The sequence below is a fragment of the Homo sapiens genome, chromosome 9, assembly GCF_000001405.40.
Source record: "Homo sapiens chromosome 9, GRCh38.p14 Primary Assembly".
Taxonomy (NCBI): Eukaryota; Metazoa; Chordata; class Mammalia; order Primates; family Hominidae; genus Homo; species Homo sapiens.
Window position 1 is genome coordinate 107,735,420 of NC_000009.12, and position 16,931 is coordinate 107,752,350.

The following is a 16,931-nucleotide window of genomic DNA, read 5'->3' on the forward strand; positions in this document are numbered from 1 at the left end:
CAGAGCAAGACCCTGTCACAAAAAAGAAAACAAAAAAGAGTTCAATAACTCAATGACGGTTACTATTGTTCACATTCCTGCCAGTTGGGTAGAAAATTGCCAATATTGAGGACACCTTGTATGTGCCAGGTGCTGTACTGGCTGCTTTTAACTCAGTTCTAATGAGAATCCCACCTTGTCTCCTACCTCTGCCTCTTACCTTGCTGAGTGTCTTTTCTTCTCTGCATGATTCGCTCTTCTCTTGACTTTCTTGACTGGCTGCAAGTTCACAGGGCTCTGTTGCAGGTCTCCTCTTTTCTGTATCCATACACTCTCCTTAGGCAGATGCATCTTTTTCTATAGATTTAACAACTTCTATGCTGTATTTTCATCCTCAACTTCTTCCCTGAGGTTAGGCCCATACATTCATATTCACTTGGATGTTGCCAGGGGCCTTTAACTCAATAGACCCAAAGCAACATGCTTGACCTCTCTGTTGTCCTCCCCACCTCCTCTGTCTCCAACAAATGGTCCTGTGTGCTTGATTCCTTGCCCTGGCTAATGCTATCACCACCCACCTAGTTACCTAATCCTGGGCACCCATCTTGATGACTCTTTCTGTTTAACCACCAGTCTAATAAATGACCAAGTCCTGTTGATTTTATGGATTTCAGGCTTTTTGAATTTGCTCCTTCCTCCCAGTTTCTGCAGTTCAGCAACTCAGGCTCTGGCAGTTCTCCTAATGGCAGCAGCAACAGCCCTTCTCTTACCTCCTGGCTTCCAGCATTGCCCCCTTGGAAGTGTGTCTTCCACTTGCGGCTGGGTGAGCTTCTGAGACAGGTCAGAATTTGCTTCTGGCTGCAAACTGTCTAAAGAATTAACAACCAAACTCCTAACTTTCACATTGAATGCTTGCTGCTGCCTATCCTTAAGTTACTGACCCACCCTCATCCTTGGTCTCATCTCCTGCCGTTAATTAAAACATAACAGTCTGGTAATCCCTGGGTGGGTCCTGAAGCCACTTTCTGAATGATTGTACTGGGGTGACATTCCAGATCTATTTGCTGTTTTATAAACTCAGGACATTGGGGAGATAATGGAGTAAGGGTGCCTCACTGTGCTACCTCCAGCAGACGCACATCATGCCTGCCTGCCAAGCAGAGCTCTGCAGACCAACTGCAACCCAGCTTCTGCAAGGGACCACAGATGCTGGTTCTCATTGGCAGTGCAAGTCAAAGGAAGTATGATGGTACTCTCTGGGTATAAGCTGTGGCACTTCAGGATTTGTTGAAGGGCAGGAGCTGGCTCTGGGTGGCTGAGGCAGGCCTTTTGACCTGCTCTTCCCTCATCACTAGGACTGGAGCAGAAGAGAAGCATCCTTGAGTCTCAGCAGAGCTCGTGGGTAGTCAGTAGGGTGGCTGTGAATTTGTAGTGGGAGGCTGACCTGCAGAGATGGATATCAGCTCTCTGCTTTCTTTCAGCCAGGACCAGGCACCCCACTCTGCTCACTCCATATTTTTATGCCAAGAGGAGAGAGATTGAGATGGACTATGGTCAAGTGCCTTCAATGAGCCTAGCTTCATGACAATGGCACGTGAGTGTAACCAGAACCCAGAATATTCTCATAGAAAGTGGTGGTGGCCTGGCTGACATGGTGGTGCGTGGCTGTAATCCCAGCACTTTGAGGGGCTGAGGCAGGAGGATCCCTTGAGCTCAGAAGTTTGAGAGCAGCCTGGGCAACATAGCAAAACCCCATTTCTACAAAAATTAAAAAATAACTGAGAATGGTGGTGCATGGCTGCAGTCCTAGCTACTCAGGAGGCTGAGGTGGGAGGATTGCTTGGGCCCAGGAGGTTGAGGCTATAGTGATCTGAGATCATGCCACTGTACTCCAGCCTGGGCAACAGAGCAAGACTCTGCCAAAAAAAAAAAAAAAAGAAAAGAAAAGAAAAGAAAGAAAAGGAAGAAAGGAAGGAAGGAAGGAAAAGAGAGAAGAATGTGGTGGCCCATGTCACCTGCTTCAGAATGTAGAACAAAATAGGATCAGAGTTTCTGACTGCTGCAAAGCTCCTCTGCAATTTGTTCTAGCAGATGCGCCCAGGACAGTCATACATGTTAGTGGACCAGGGAAAACCAAGCTGGGTGGACAGGAAAGCCCTGGAGCGAAAAAACCTGAATGTCTTTTTCTGTCTCCAGTGGCGGTTGGCTTGCTCTGGTCGCCCACTCAGCTTTTCCCCTGGACTCCAGAGGCCTGGTACATGCATATCTCCAAGAGAGTATAAACCAAGTAAAACTGATGTCTGTGTAAACTACTGAGGAATCATGGAGAGGGAGAGATGAATTCTACCCGGGGTGGGGCAAGGATTGGCAAAGAAAGGGACATTTATATTGGGTTACGGAAGAGGAATAGGAGTTTTATGGGCAGAAAATAGGGAAAAGCATTCACTGCAAAGACAAAAACCTGTGAAAAATCGTATTTAAAAGCTAGTAAAGGGGCTCACCCTAAGGGAAGAGTGGGGAAGATGAAGCTAGAAGGAGCCCCGCAGGGTGAAGGGCCAGAAGTTATGGGGGCTGAGAAGACTGGGCACTCTCCTTATCATGCCAAGAGGTGCTAGACTAGTGGGGTAAATTTTCCTGCAGCAGTTTCAAGTTGACTCGAACCCTGGCCTTTTCACCCTGGGCCCTATGCCCTTTTATTTTCTGTCTTCCTCCCGCCCTCAGAGTAATTTCAAATAGGTCTCATTTAAGTGAGTAAACATCTCCAATTCAGGCACCCTTCCAAGAAAACGAAAAACACAAAACAAAACAGAAACCTGGGGATTTTACTACTTGGAGCGTGGAGGGAAGAGGCATGCCCAGGCAGGAACCTAGCTCCAGACAGCTTGGGTGGGACAAGAGGGCTGATCAGAGATGCTGGGATTCCCACTTGGGAGACCAGCCCCAGGGATCTCCTTGCATTGCTTCTCTTTTTCAGGGGAAAAGAAATCTCAGAGCAAATATTTGTCATGAAAAGGAAATTTTGGCCGGCCTCAGAAATCACAGATAATTAAGAGATATGATTTATCATTCGTGATGTTTCCCCGTCATGGCCAGGGTATGAGTAAGTGTTTTTCAAGCTGCTTGGCCTTAAACTCAGCGGCGGCTGCTGGGGAAGGCTCTTCTCGCACGTCAGGGGCCTTGCTCTGTCGTCGTTGGGACACAGGCAGGGGCTGGGCAGAGGCTGGGCAGAGGCCTCTCAGTAACAGTTCCCTGGACCGTGAGCCCTGCCTGCCGAGGGAGGATGGCCTGGCAGAACGGAGGGAACGCTGGCTTTGAAGCAAGGCAGACCTAGGTGGGATTCCTTCCTCTGTCATGGCCTCCAGCAACTTCCTTAGCTTCTCTGAGCCTGTTTCCCCCTTTGTGGAGTTAACACAGAGGTTCTCAAATGAAGCAATTTTGCCTGCCACCCCAAGGGACACTTAGCAATGTCTGGAGACATTTTTGGTTGTCACACTAGGAGTAAGGGTACTGGTGGTATCTGGTGGGTTGGGGCCAGGGATGCTGCCACATGTCCTGCAATGCACAGCACAGCCCTCCACAATAGGGACCTGTCGGCTTCGATTGTCACTAGGGCTGAGGTTGAGAAAGCCTGAGTCAAAGCAATGACACAGACCTCAGAGTTGTTGAGAAGATCAAGTGAGATCATCTATCTGTACTGCCTGACACAGAGTGAGCCCCAGATAAATGGGATAAATGGAAGTTTAAAAAGTGGCTGCTAAAGTCATTTCTCCAAAAGGTTATAAGGCCACCAGTCTGGGGTAGTTCTGAAGGAGAGATGCCAGCCGGGAAGAGAAGAAGGCTAACCAGACCTACCCTCTCTAAAGATTCTCCCTCCCACCCTCCCTTTCTTCCTTCTTTTCCTTCCTCCTCCTTCAAATGTTTACTGAGCACCTATTAGCAGCTAGAAATGGGATATAGTAGGGAATAGAACAAAAAGATTGCTGTCCTCATAGAACTTTCATCCTAGTGAATTTCCCACAAATGAATAATATACATTATGATATGCCAAATGGCAAAACAAAATTTTTTTTAATCCTATAAAAAAATAAAGCATGATAAGGGGCATAAACAGGAGTGCTGGGGTGTATGTGTGTAATCGCAGTAGGTGGGAGCAGGCCTTTGAGCAGAGGACTGGAGGACATGCAGGCGGGAGTCCACCAGAGTCAGCGTCCTATTCAGATCCCGGAGCTCCGCTCCTTGTCCAGAGGGCAGCTCCCAGCCCTTCTCAGATGGCCGGGCTGCTCTTGGCCGGGGTTGAGCGGTCCTGCGCCAGCTCCTTCAGTGTGGAGGCTTTCAGGGAGCACGGGGGAGATCAGCTCTGCCTGTCGGCCCGCCCTGAGCTGACCACAAGGGTGTTTGCAAAGGAAGGGTGGGGGGTTTCGCCGATTAGGGTCCATGTGCTCAGGCCCTGGCTTGAAGGAAGCCTGGCTGGGTGCCCAGGGGGTGAGTTGCTGGCTCTTGGTCTGCCTGAAGGGGCCTGGGGCTATTTGTACTCCACCCCAGGTCCTGGCAGCTGACTCAGGGCTGCCTGCCATGGCAGAGGCAAGGCCAGCTTCCAACTTCAGGAGGAGTGTGTCTGCAAGTGGGACCTTTGCCATGGTGGGTGGGGGAGTGAGAACATTAAAAAAAAAAAAGAAAAGATGCCACCTGTAACTACCTTCTTCTCGGGTCCTCAGGGCTTTTCCCCACTGTGCCTCCTTGAATGCCTGGGAGAGATAGTAAGGAAGTAGGATCGACAGGACTGGGTGTCTGTAGGGTGAAGAGATGCAGGGTCTTGAAGCCAGAGAGATGGGGGAGGTCAAAAGTCTTTCCACTTTATCATCACTTGTTTCCATTTAGCAAAAGTCTTTGCTGAGCAGTCCCCGCATGGCCAGCACTGGACTAGACAATGGCATCTGTCTTGTTCCCAGCGGCACCCTACATGCCTAGCACAGAGCTCTACGGATAGTGGGGGTGCAATGAGTACTTGGGGAATAAATATTTGGGGCATGTGGATTATCTGGAAGAGAAAAGACAAATGGCAGGCCACCATCGTCTGGGTCACCTGGGTTGGGTAGCTAAAATTACACATAAGATGAGAGTTTGGAGAGGTGGCTCAGAGAGGAGAGGCAGGGCTGAGGCAGGTGGAGAGAGATCTGGAGGCAGGTCTAGGAAGCGGTGAGGGTGCCTTTCCCTGGAGCCATTGCAACTGATGGTTAGGCCAGGGATTTAGGGCAGAGCCATCACCAAAATGAGGAGACAGGGGGAAGACATGAAGGCTTTCAGAATAGGGAGTGAATGAAGACAAAAGGACTGTTCCTGGCTCCACGCCTCTGCTCATAGTGTTTGCCTTGCTTAGGGATCCCGCCCATCTCCACTCTGCCAATTCCTGGATTCATGCAGTCTCAAGCTTTGGAGGAATCTTTTTTTTTTTTTTTTTTTTTTTAAGACAGAGTCTCACTTTGTAGCCCCATGCTGGAGTGCAGTGGGGTGATCTTGGCTCACTGCAACCTCCGCCTCCCAGGTTCAAGTGAGTCTCAAGTCTCAGCCTCCCAAGAAGCTGGGATTACAGGTGCCCGCCACCATATCTGGCTAATTTTTTAATTTTTTTAGTACAGACAGGGTTTCACCATGTTGGCCAGGCTGGTCTCAAACCTTTGAAGGAATCTTAAAGGTTACCAGGTCCGTCCTCAGCAGCATCCCCTCCAGTTGCTTCTCCACCATCCCCTGGGGTCTGTTGTTCAGAATATGCTTGACATCTCTAGGGATGGGGTGCCCTCTGCCACCCCACATTGCGGAACAGAGATTGCAAAATGTTGACCTGAGGCCATATCTGTCTTTCAGACAGGACTTGTTTAGTTTTCTATGTGTTTAAACAATTTAAACATTATTCTCCAGTATTTAAAAATCAGATTTTACACCCAGAAATATAAATGATTTCTGGCTTATCTTGACATGGAAAGATCTGGCCACACTGGATCCACATTCTCAAATGGCAAGAATTGGCTGAAGCTGAGGAGCAGCTGCCCCTTTAGATGAAGCACATGCTCTGGGGTTTTCTGCTCTCTCCACCTCTTCCTATTAAGCCCACCCTGCTTTCCTCATGTGCATAATCTGCCGGTATCTGTAGCCTTTGGGGCTTATGAATAGGGCAGTCACTGGAATCAGTCAAATGTGAGTGCAAATTCTGACTCTGCCACTTGCCAGCTATGGGTCAGTGACCTGACCTGAGCCCCAATTTTCTCAAGTGTAAAATGGGAATCATAACTCTCACCTCTTGGAGTTGTGAGAATTAAATGCAATGATGTATTTACAGTACCTAGTGGAATATCTGGACGGCATAGGTAATTTATCAATGGCAGCTCTGATTTTTGTTATTATTCCTTTACTCCCTCAATTTATCTGGATTTCAGAGGTCCCTCCTGTGTAGAGTCTTCCTGACTTCCAAAGAGGTGAGGGGAGTTAGTGCCTGGCATTTGTGTGGCCTGGATGTCCAAAGCCCTTTTGCACAGATTCACAGATCACATTTGTGCCGTGCCCTCTGCGCCTCCCTGCTCCCAGCTCCTCGATGCCACTTGCTGTTGTCCTCATTCTGCATTTTCTCCCTGCGTTGCCTTCCTGGTCAGAACTCAGTCCCCCTCCCCATGCCTGGCATAGTGCTGTGGGCAAGGTCTGCAGGCCGCAGGCTTGTCAACACGGAGACCCAGATCTCCCTTTCCAGAGAGGCAGGGGCTGTCATGGGAAAGAGGCTTGGGGTCAGAAAAACCTGGTTTCATTCCAGCGCTGCCACTTTCTACTCCTGCAACTTGGATCAAGTTATTTCTAAGCCTCAATTTACTTGTCTACGAAGTGGAGCTATGAAGACATAGCTCCAGGGTTAGCATGAGAATTAAATGAGAAAATACAGTGCCTGGTGCCAGTTGCTACTTACTGAGGGCCAATCTCTTCTGCTTCCATCTAACTGCTCCAGAACTTGATAAGCTGCTCAAGCAGCTACCATTTTCAAAGCACCTCATTTGTGCTAGGAGGGTTGCTGTCAGCTCCCATCATGCAGTGATGAGTCTGAGCAGCCCCTGCCCTTAGGGAGCTCCAGCAGTGGGTCCAGCACCCTCTTCCTGCTGCACTGTGAGGATTAAGTGCCCCTCCCCAGGGCACAAAGAGGGTTTTGCACAAAGCCTTGGCTTTTCCCAGATGAGAAAGCAGAACAAGGCCAGGAGGCATGGGAAGCGATGGGTGCTCTGGTTGATCATAGGAGCTTCTCTCTCCAGAGGAGCAGGGTGGCAGGATGCCCAGGGTGGTGGGAAAGCCTTACGTCTCCTGTTCTGGAGATGAACAGGGCTTCTTCCTGAGAACTCTGGATGCAGCCCAAAGCCTGCTCTGCCTTCCCTGCAGGCCAATGAGGCCCAGAAGATGAGCGCAGCTCTGCCTTGGGCACGTCTGTACCTGGCAGGACCTTCCTTTCCTTCTCCTTGGAGCCTGGTTGGGGGCACCAGCGATATCTGCCGGGAAATATCCTGGTGGCAGGCATAGGCCAGGAATATGACGGAAAGGCCCATAGAATTTTAAGAAGTTCTGGGAAGAAAACTGGTGTGTTCCGGCAAGTGTTTTGCATTTTTTTGTTTTTCTCTTTGATAGGAAAAGCATGCAGTTGGATTTTTCTTTGGCAGTTCTTTCCTTCTCAAAATATGGAGCTCTGGGAGGGGGCACTACATGGGCCTGGAATCTGTGTGGTCCCTGAGACCTTTGGGAGTGTGTGAGGCAAGAACATGGAATGAGCTTGCAGTTCTGATAGAGTCGCATGTGTCAGGGAGTTATCCTATCAATTAATACAGATAATAATATCATGTATTGTGTGCTTACTACGTGCTGGCACTGTGCTAACCATTATTTTTTAGTATTTACTTATTTGTTTATCTATTTGGGACCAGGCTGGGGTGCAGTGGCCCAATCTCAGCTCACTGCTACCTCCACCTCCCGGGTTCAAGGGATTCTCATGCCTCAGCCTCCCGTGTAGCTGGGATTACAGGCATGAGACATAGCACCTGGCTAATTTTTTATATTTTTTAGTAGAGACGGGGTTTCACCATGTTAGCCAGGCTGGTCTCGAACTCTTGACCTCAAGTGATCCGCCCGGCTTGGCTTCCCAAAATGCTGGGATGTCAGGCATGAGCCACCAAGCCCAGCCTATTTATTATTATTTGTTCCAATTTATTTTTATGGCCGGGCACGGTGGCCTCACGCCTGTAATCCCAGCACTTTGGGAGGCCAAGGCGGGTGGATCATGAGGTCAGGAGATCGAGACCATCAAGGCTAACACAGTGAAACCCCGTCTCTACTAAAAATACAAAAAATTAGCTGGGCGTAGTGGCGGGCGCCTGTGGTCCCAGCTACTCGGGAGGCTGAGGCAGGAGAATGGCGTGAACCCGGAAGGCGGAGCTTGCAGTGAGCTGAGATCGCGCCACTGCACTCCAGCCTGGGCGGCAGAGCGAGACTCTGTCTCAAAAACAAAAACAAAAACAAAACAAAAAATAAAACATTATTTTTATTTATGTATTTATTCAAAAATTTTTTTAGAGTCGAGGTCTTGTTCTGTTACCCAGGCTAGAGTGCAGTGACATGATCATAGCTCACTGCAGATTTAAATTCCTGGGCTCAAGTGATCCTCCTCCCTCAGCCTCCCAAGTAGCTTGAACTACAGGCACATGCCACCATGCCCTGCTCTGTGCTAATCTTTTTACATGCATTATCCCTTTTCATTCACACAACAACAAAGGAAATGTGATCATGCTCATTTTACAGGTGGGAGAACTGGGGATTTCAACAGTTGCGTGGTCCCAGAATGACAGAGTTGGCAAACCAGGTTTGACCCCTGAGACTACACACCTAACGGCTTGGCTAGAACCGTTTTAAAGGCTCAACCACTCAGTGAGGAAACTCAATAATTCTGGTATTTCCTATTTTGAGATTCAAAATGATAAAGTAATTTGCTAAAGCCATACAAAGGAATGCTTTGTAGGATTGCTCTGATTCCTACCTTCTTGGGGAATAACTATTGGGAAGCAGATCAAGCTGCATTTGAAGAAGTAACTAGATGAGTGCTCCCATTTATTTCTTGTTTTAAGGGTTTCAGTGGTTCCTGTTTGCCCGAGGCAAAAAACAGAGCTCCTTGGAGTGCCCTTCACAATTGCCACAATCCAATGTACTTTCTGCACTCGCCCCTGTCGATTGCACTTTATGCTCACACTCCAGCTTCATGGAAAAGGTGATTCTACCTTTGTGTCCCGGGGCAGGCTCATAAGACACACTGCACATTGCAATGACCTGCATCTCTTCTCATATACACGCATAACAGAGAAGTCAACAGAGGACTCAACTCCTTCAGGGAAGAAACCAACTGAGTCATATTTGCTTCTTCATTCTGATCCCAGCACAGAGCCTGGCACAGAAAACGCATGCTCCATGCATATGTAGAGAACACATAAATGAATGAATGAATCAAAGAGTGTGTGTGTGAGAGAGAATGAATGAATGGGATGAATGAATGAGGATGGAGTAGCCCTCCTCTTTCAACACCATTTCTAATACCAAACCAGGCCAGAGACTTTTGCCATCTGCAACTATAGACTCCAGGAGAGTGAGGTCAGGAGAGGAGAGGTGACAGCTGAAAGCCTTTGTTTCATCTCGGAAAGGTAACAGTGAAAATTTGCATCCCGAGTTACAGTTCATAAACCACACCAGCAGGCCTCATCTTATTTCTCTTCATAAAGGAGAAGGAAGCTAAGATAAAGTGTATAAACTTCAGGCTCCAAGAGGGTGCTGAGCAGAGGGGATGCTCCATTTCTTCCCAGCTCAGGACACCCATGTGGTGTGGGAAAGACATCTCTGTAATCCAGGGAAACAGCCAGGGGTGGAGCCAAAAATTAAAGTGGGCAGGAGAACTTGTGGGTAGTTGGAGAGAAGGGAGAAGATGTCCAGAACTTGGCTTGAATCTCTCCCATGTGCCAGCTTTTGAGTGTGGAGTTTTACTTATAATCTTTCATGAGTCTTCAAAACCATCTCATGACTCCTCAAAACCATCTCATGAGGAAAGGATTACAGTTGACCTTTGAACCACATGGGTTCGAGCTGCGCACATCCCTCTGCCCACACTTGTATGTGAATTTTCTTCTGTCTCTGCCACCAAGAGACAGCAAGACTAACCCCTCCTCTTCCTCCTCCCTTCTCAGCCTACTCAATGTGAAGACAATAAGGATGAAGACCTGTAAGATGCTCCACTTCCACTCAGTCAATAGTCAATATATTTTGTTTTCCTTATGATTTTCTTAATAATGTTTTCTTTTCTCTTGCTTATTTTACCGCAAGAATATCGTATTTAATACATATAAAATACAAAATATGTTTTAATTGGCTGTTTATGTTATTGGTAAGGCTTCTGGTCAACAGTGGGCTATTAGTAGTTACGTTTTTGGGGAGTCAAAAATTATACAGATTTTTGACTGGTGCCCCTAACACCTATGTTGTTCAACGGTCAATGATCTTTTAGATAGTGCTCACCGTGAAAGGAAAATAAATCTTGGCACCCCAAACTCACCAAGCCGAAGGCAAAAGTTAAGCTGGGAACTGGGTCATGCAAACCTGCCTCCAAGTTTTGTTCCTAAATAAGATGGATACAAAGATGAAAAGCTACATAAAGATGAAAAGCTACAAGGAAATTCCCGGTGGGCCCCAAGATCTTTACCCTAAAGCATTTCTGTTAAAGCTCAACACGGCAATTTATTAATAAATAGATAGTTTATCTTCACAGGTGTGGCAACACAGGATAGAACTATAAGTCATCCCTCTACCCACCTGAAACCAGTGCATATCTGATTGTTTCCTCTGCCCTATTGCCTAGGTTATCTTACATAAAAATGCAGATTCACTGAGCCAGACTAAGGCATGAATGACTGTTTTCCCCTCCCTGCCTCTCACATGAAAATTGTGTATTTCTCAATTTCCCACCCTTTCTTCTTTAAATATTGAAGACCTCAAAATCATCTTTGGAGAAAGGCATAGACCTATCTCTTGAGTATCTTTTTTTTTTCTTTTGGAGACGGAGCCTTCCTCTGTCGCCCAGGCTGGAGTGCAGTGGCATGATCTTGGCTCACTGCAATCTCCACCTCCCTGGTTCCAGTGATTCTCCTGCCTCAGCCTCCCAAGTAGTTGGGATTACAGGCGTCCACCACCATGCCTGGCTAATTTTTATAGTTTTAGTAGAAACGGGGTTTCACCATGTTGACCTGGCTGGCTTGGAACTCCTGATCTCAGGTGATCCGCCCGCCTCAGCCTCCCAAAGTGCTGGGATTACAGGCATGAGCCACCGCGCCCAGCCTGGGTATCCTTAACTTAGGCAAATAAACCCCTAAAATGACTGAGACTTGTCTCAGTCACTTTCCTTGATTGACATCACTCACACATGAGGTGATTGAAAATCTAAAGGTTTAAGTGATTTTCTACCTGAAAATGTAAAAAAAGGGGTTACATTCAGAGCTGTCTGACTCGAAGCTGCTTGTTTCTAATTCTCCGTGGCTCCCTTGTGTGCCCTTGGTGATGGATGAATTAATCCAACCAATTCTTTCTTTGATTCTACTGCATGGAGACACAAAGATAGAGAAGGCCTGCTGGTGACTGACAGTGTTTGTGTGCTGGGAATGGAGAGTTGTGGAAGATGGATAGGTAAACAGATTTTCCTTACAAGGTGCCAGCCATAAGCAAAACAGGATGTGGGAGCACTGGGTGGAAACACAGAGCAACTTAGCCTGGGATGTTGTTGAAGCCTTCATGGAGGAAGTGATGATGATGTGGGTCCTTTCAGGAAGCTTAATGATGAGCCAAGCACCATGCTGGGCAAAGTGCTCTCCCAGGCTAGTGAGGAAAATGAGGGAATGAGAAAGGAGGATGAGGAGGGCTTTGAGGGTGATGAGTCAGATGCAGGCACAGCCTTGGTAGTGGGTTTTAGTCCGTGCTCTGAGATGCCCAGTTTTTCATGAGAAAGAAAAGCATGTATGCCCACCCAGAAGAATGATTGTTAAGACAGGCTAAGAATATTGAGAGCAGAATGCACAGCCAACGCAAACTTGGCTGTATGCTCTTCTTTCTATGGGGATTTCTCTCCCTTTCTCTGCCTGTCATTCAGTGAGCAGAACAGAAATGTGTTCAGGCACAGGAGGAGGATGAACTGCACACCAATTGAAGGGAACAGTATGGGGTAGAGCAGAGTAGCACAAAACAGCATGCACATTGTGAGTTTGTGTAAGTTAGCTTTTGCTGTATAACAAACCAACTCAAAGCTTAGTGACTTAACCAATATTTATCATTTTTTAGAATGATTTTTTGGGTTGAGTGAGTGATTCTCATGGTCTAAGTGAGCTTAGTTGTTGCTGGAAGTTGTGGATGGTGTTACCCACATGTTTGGGGTCAGCTGAGATCTCTTTCCACATGGGCCTTATCCTCAAGGAGTCTAGCTAAGGTTAGTAAACATAGTGGCTGGAGGGGCTTGCAGAAAGAAAGAGCTTTCAAGCTTTTGCTTGCTTCACATTTGCTAATGGTCCCATTGGCCAAAGACAGTTTCATGGCCTACTGAGATTCAAGGGGCAGAGAAATATGTTCCACTTCTTAATATAAGGAGCCGCAACTCACACTACAGGTATGGGAAGGATTTACGGGTGGGAAATCCAGTGTTCTTGCTGCATATGGTGATGGTAGAGAAGAGGAAACCAAAGAAACAAAGGCACATCCTGATGGGCCTTGAATGCCAAGTGAAGGGCTTCAACTTTATTTTGTAAGCATTGAGGGTTCCTGAAAAGATTTAAGCAGGCCAGCTTTGGATTTAAAAAGCCCATTCCAGTGGCTATAAGAAGGTTGGATTGGAAAAAGGTAAAATTCAAGGAAAAGGACCCATTAGGCCATCCATATTTCAGGAACAGGGGGTCAAGGCCTGAACCAAGACTGTCACTGAGCTCTTTGAAAGCAGGGCCATAAGTTCCTCATGTTTTTAGCCCATGTGTAGCACAGTGCCTGGTCTCGAGTTGGCATTCACCAAATGCTCAAATGAATGTTATACGGAGAGCAGAGTGTGGACTGCCAGATGGTTTGGAGGTCAGATGACCAGGGCTTTCCTGATAGTCAACAACAGGAAGAAGAACGAGATGGGTGTGAGTGTTCAGAAATTTGTTCGTGTCAGCTGAGGAGGTGAAGGCTGGGTGCAGAGTCAGAAGCCAGTTACAAGGACTTGAGATGCACATCTCTCTGTCCATCCTCTGTCATCTCCTTCATGTCAAGGACACTCTCTGACATGAACTTGGGCAACTCTCTTCGTTCACCAGGGCCTCTGTTTCCAAATTCTTTAAAACAGAGATGGTAACTCCAGGACCCTGGCAATGCCAGTAATATACTCTGAAGAGAAACTATGAGAGAACCCCACTTAAAGGGTGGACATCACTGGTGCTCTCTCATTAAGGTTGAGCATTATTGGACAAACCTACCCACATGAAGGTCAGGCTGGGAGGACTGGAGCAGGTTCTTTTTTTTTAGTGAAGAAATTTTCCATTGGGAGCTTCATGGAAATGATGCTTAATGCCTTTACCACTCTGCCTTTCCAAAGGATGTTAGTCTCCCTCGTGAGAGAATCTATGTAATGTACTGGTGACGTAGGCATCATCAAGGCCTATTATGTCCATTTCCCAGATGACGGACATCCCATTGGAGATGGCAGTGATTGGCAGAAAAATTACAGGCAAAGGCTAGGTCAGAACTCTGAAGCCTGAATTCTGCCCTGAAGGTCATGGCTCTTCTCCAGCAGTAGCTCCAATACAGGCTTCTCAAGTTTACCCAACTCTAGCGCTAACCAGCTCTTCAGAGTCCTTTCTCTCCAATAGTCATCTTTGTGTAAAGAGCCAAAAAGCAAATGTTCCAATTAATGAAAAGGCTCTTCTATAATAGGATTTGTATGAGATCAAAAGGGTTTCTAACTGGGACAGACCTGCAAGCTTGGAGTGCTGTGCTTTTCCAGCATGTGCTGTAATTAATACATACACTGAACATTACATATAATCTGCATATTATTGACCCAATGCACAATTCATATGGTAATGCCATTAATTGCATATTACCTAGGCGGCTTAATGAACATTACATAGGTTTTTAATGGATGTAGTTACTATAATTGAGTTCAATTATATCCCTGCCATGCATATGAGGTCAATAGACTAGCTCGACCCCACAGGGTCTGGGAGAAAGGAAACAGGTGTTTGTAGTGAGGGCAATTTGTGAGCTGGAGCAGAGAGAAGGGAGAGGCCAAGGGCCAGAGATGACTTGCTTGGCTGGGCCCTTTTTAGGGCCCGGATAGTGGTACACAAAGCTGGGTAAACAGCAGGCAGTCTATGCACAAAGGCAGGATCTCCTGCTTGCCCCTCTGCTGTGGGTTTGGAACAGGGCACCAGACTGGAGCCCTGAAGCCAGCCACGCCCACGCTGTAACAGGACACTTTCTTCTACGCTGACCCAAAGCCAATGGGCAGTTGCATCACTTCCTCTGGCAGAGTGGAGGCCACATGATTCTAGCATCTGGGCTTGCCAGGGATGCAGGGGAGCCCTGCCTGTCCATGATGCTGGCGCAGAAGGCCCTGAGCCTGGTGTTGCTTCTTTTCTCCAAATTCTATGTCTGGAGTGGAAGAGGCAAAGCTGCTGCTCCCATATTCTGGGTGCTCACACCCTCTAAAAGAGATAACCCCATGTGGACAGAGAACTAGGGAGTGAAGAGGCATCAGAGTTCCTCATACTTCCCTTCCTAAAAAAGAGAAAGGTGACTCAGAGATGACAAACACCTGCCATAAACTAGGCACTGCTGATGTTACCTACTTTACCCTCCACTGGATTTCTCCCATTTGGTTAAAGTGATACTAAATCTTCAGAGAGGTTAGAAATTTTCCCAAGGACACACACACACACACACACACACATACACATGCACACACAACACAACACAACACAACACACACAGAACTTGTTGAAGGTGGGGTCAGAATTTGAACTCAGGTCAGTCTCACCCCAAAGTTTACAGCACCCAATTACTCCAGGCTGCTTTGTTGCAACTTTGCTGTGTTCCTAGTTTTGAAGGCCACTCCAGAAGGGGTAAAATAATGATGAAAAGGAAAGTTTGATGCAGATATCAGGATAGAAAGAAAAGAAGAAAATGAATGATTTTTTTTAAAATCACAGAGAGAGAATTTGATTTTTCCAGTAACCTTCTTGCAAAGTATACATTTGCATGTCTCTTTTTCTGCCTGTCTTTCCACTCTCATTGACCGCTGATTTGCTAAGTTGGGCTGGCCAGGAATACACTTTCTATTTAGAAAGCAAATGCGGCCAGATTTGGGCCCCGGCCTAGGAGCTGACTCACTTTTGCTGGGATGACACATTCACTGCGCATGTTTCACAATTTTCAGAAACACCAGATTTATTTCTGTCAATACCCAGAGCCCCACTTCGCTGTCCACCTAAGGCCACACACTGAGGCGTTGCTATTTTTTTCCCTGGGGCCTAAATGGATGGGAAGACTTCCCATGCCTGAAACATCACCCTCATTTGTAAGGAGAGAAAGTCTGGCCAAGAATTGCAGTGTTTTTAACCAGAATTTGGCTGGCTTTCAATAGCTTTATGCCAAAGCTGTACCAGCCAGAGAGATGGCTGTGAGTGTGTGTGTGTGTGTGTGTGTGGAGGCGGGGGGGGGGGGGGTGAGGCTTGAAAACAAGGCAAAAAAGGAAGGAAAAAAAAACACGCAGACAGCAGAGAGGAAAGGAGAGAATAGGAGAGAATGAGGGTTGATTAAGTTTGGCAAGGAAGAAAAGAGAAGGAAGAGAGGGAGTTTAAAAAGAGAAAGGCAGCAAGAGAAATAACAAAGGAAGAATCAGGAGAGAGAAGGAGAGATTAACTTACTTTAACTAATCAACTACTATGAGAATGCCAAGCATTGTTGGGGATGCTTCTGCACACCACCTCATCTAATTCTCACAACCACCTTGTGGGTACACATAATGAAGCTTCATTGTTATTAATAAAGAAGTAGGGGGCTCAGGAAGTTGGAACCCTTTGCCCTGAGGCTATACTGATAATACAGGGCAGAGGGATTTGGACCTCCCATCTCTGACTTTTAAAAGCTTGGAGGACTCTGCTTGCCATCAGGGAGCTTCATGGGAGGCCCTGTGATCTGGATGGTCCGTGACAGTCTCCTCTAAGGGGGTTGTTTACACACTTAGACACTAAGAGCTTAAGACTTGAAGGGACTGCTACATATACAAAGCTCTGGATTCAGAGCTATCTGGAAACTTTCTCCAGGGTAAATAAAAACAACCACTTCAACAATGTTGCCAATGAATCTCTCTCCAAAAAAGAAAAGGAAAGGAAAAGGGAAAGTGATGCTATTTTTTCCCCCTCCAAAGTAAAGGTTACAACAACATTTTCTTTGAGCTGATGTGAGAGCAGCCAGCAGACATTTCTTTGGTAACCATCTCCATGTGTCTGTGTGGAAAGTACCTTGCAGTGACTAAGCGTTCGTTGAGGTGATTCACTTGTCACTGCGCTTGGGGACTTTGGACTAGTCCTGGCAGCTGCAAAGTTATTTTCATCGGCTTCTGACCCAGGCCCTCCCTGCAGGGCACAGGTGCCTGAGAATGTACCCCTGTCTCTGCTCACAAGGTGAGCAAGGGGGGCTGGAAGACAAGCTCTCTCTGGACTCCTGGCAAGACTTCTAGAAAGTCCTAGCTGCTAATTTCCTTGGCAGCCTAGGAGTCAAGGGTCTGAGGCAGCACTCAGGGCTTGAAATGAAATGAAGCTCATTTACTGAGCATCTAGGATATGCCAGAAGTTTTCTCTTCATTTGTCTCATTCTTCCTCACA

The 16,931-nt window shown here is 47.0% G+C and overlaps 1 long non-coding RNA gene across 3 annotated transcripts in view, besides 5 other annotated features; it reads left to right on the forward strand.

The window, feature by feature from the left end:
• Positions 1-16,931, forward strand: part of LOC105376208 (uncharacterized) — a 78,157-nt gene that overhangs the window by 621 nt on the left and 60,605 nt on the right. Inside the window, exon 1 of one of the 3 annotated variants that reach the window (XR_007061720.1) lies at positions 8,703-8,944. The exons of the other annotated variants lie outside the window; for them this stretch is intronic. This is a non-coding gene — a long non-coding RNA (uncharacterized LOC105376208). Of the gene's footprint in view, positions 1-8,702; positions 8,945-16,931 lie in introns of those variants that run through there. 3 annotated transcript variants of the gene reach the window in all.
• Positions 2,775-3,276: an enhancer, noted in NCBI's record as "H3K27ac hESC enhancer chr9:110500475-110500976 (GRCh37/hg19 assembly coordinates)". NCBI's record gives its function as "activates a minimal SCP1, AML or CMV promoter by ChIP-STARR-seq in primed H9 embryonic stem cells {active_cell/tissue: H9 hESC(primed)}" and the evidence as "EXISTENCE:reporter gene assay evidence [ECO:0000049][PMID:30033119]".
• Positions 3,277-3,776: an enhancer, noted in NCBI's record as "H3K27ac hESC enhancer chr9:110500977-110501476 (GRCh37/hg19 assembly coordinates)". NCBI's record gives its function as "activates a minimal SCP1, AML or CMV promoter by ChIP-STARR-seq in primed H9 embryonic stem cells {active_cell/tissue: H9 hESC(primed)}" and the evidence as "EXISTENCE:reporter gene assay evidence [ECO:0000049][PMID:30033119]".
• Positions 3,906-4,406: an enhancer, noted in NCBI's record as "H3K4me1 hESC enhancer chr9:110501606-110502106 (GRCh37/hg19 assembly coordinates)". NCBI's record gives its function as "activates a minimal SCP1, AML or CMV promoter by ChIP-STARR-seq in primed H9 embryonic stem cells {active_cell/tissue: H9 hESC(primed)}" and the evidence as "EXISTENCE:reporter gene assay evidence [ECO:0000049][PMID:30033119]".
• Positions 15,733-16,460: an enhancer, noted in NCBI's record as "NANOG hESC enhancer chr9:110513433-110514160 (GRCh37/hg19 assembly coordinates)". NCBI's record gives its function as "activates a minimal SCP1, AML or CMV promoter by ChIP-STARR-seq in primed H9 embryonic stem cells {active_cell/tissue: H9 hESC(primed)}" and the evidence as "EXISTENCE:reporter gene assay evidence [ECO:0000049][PMID:30033119]".
• Positions 16,502-16,601: an enhancer, noted in NCBI's record as "active region_28752". NCBI's record gives its function as "activates an Ori minimal core promoter by ATAC-STARR-seq in GM12878 lymphoblastoid cells {active_cell/tissue: GM12878}" and the evidence as "EXISTENCE:reporter gene assay evidence [ECO:0000049][PMID:35858748]".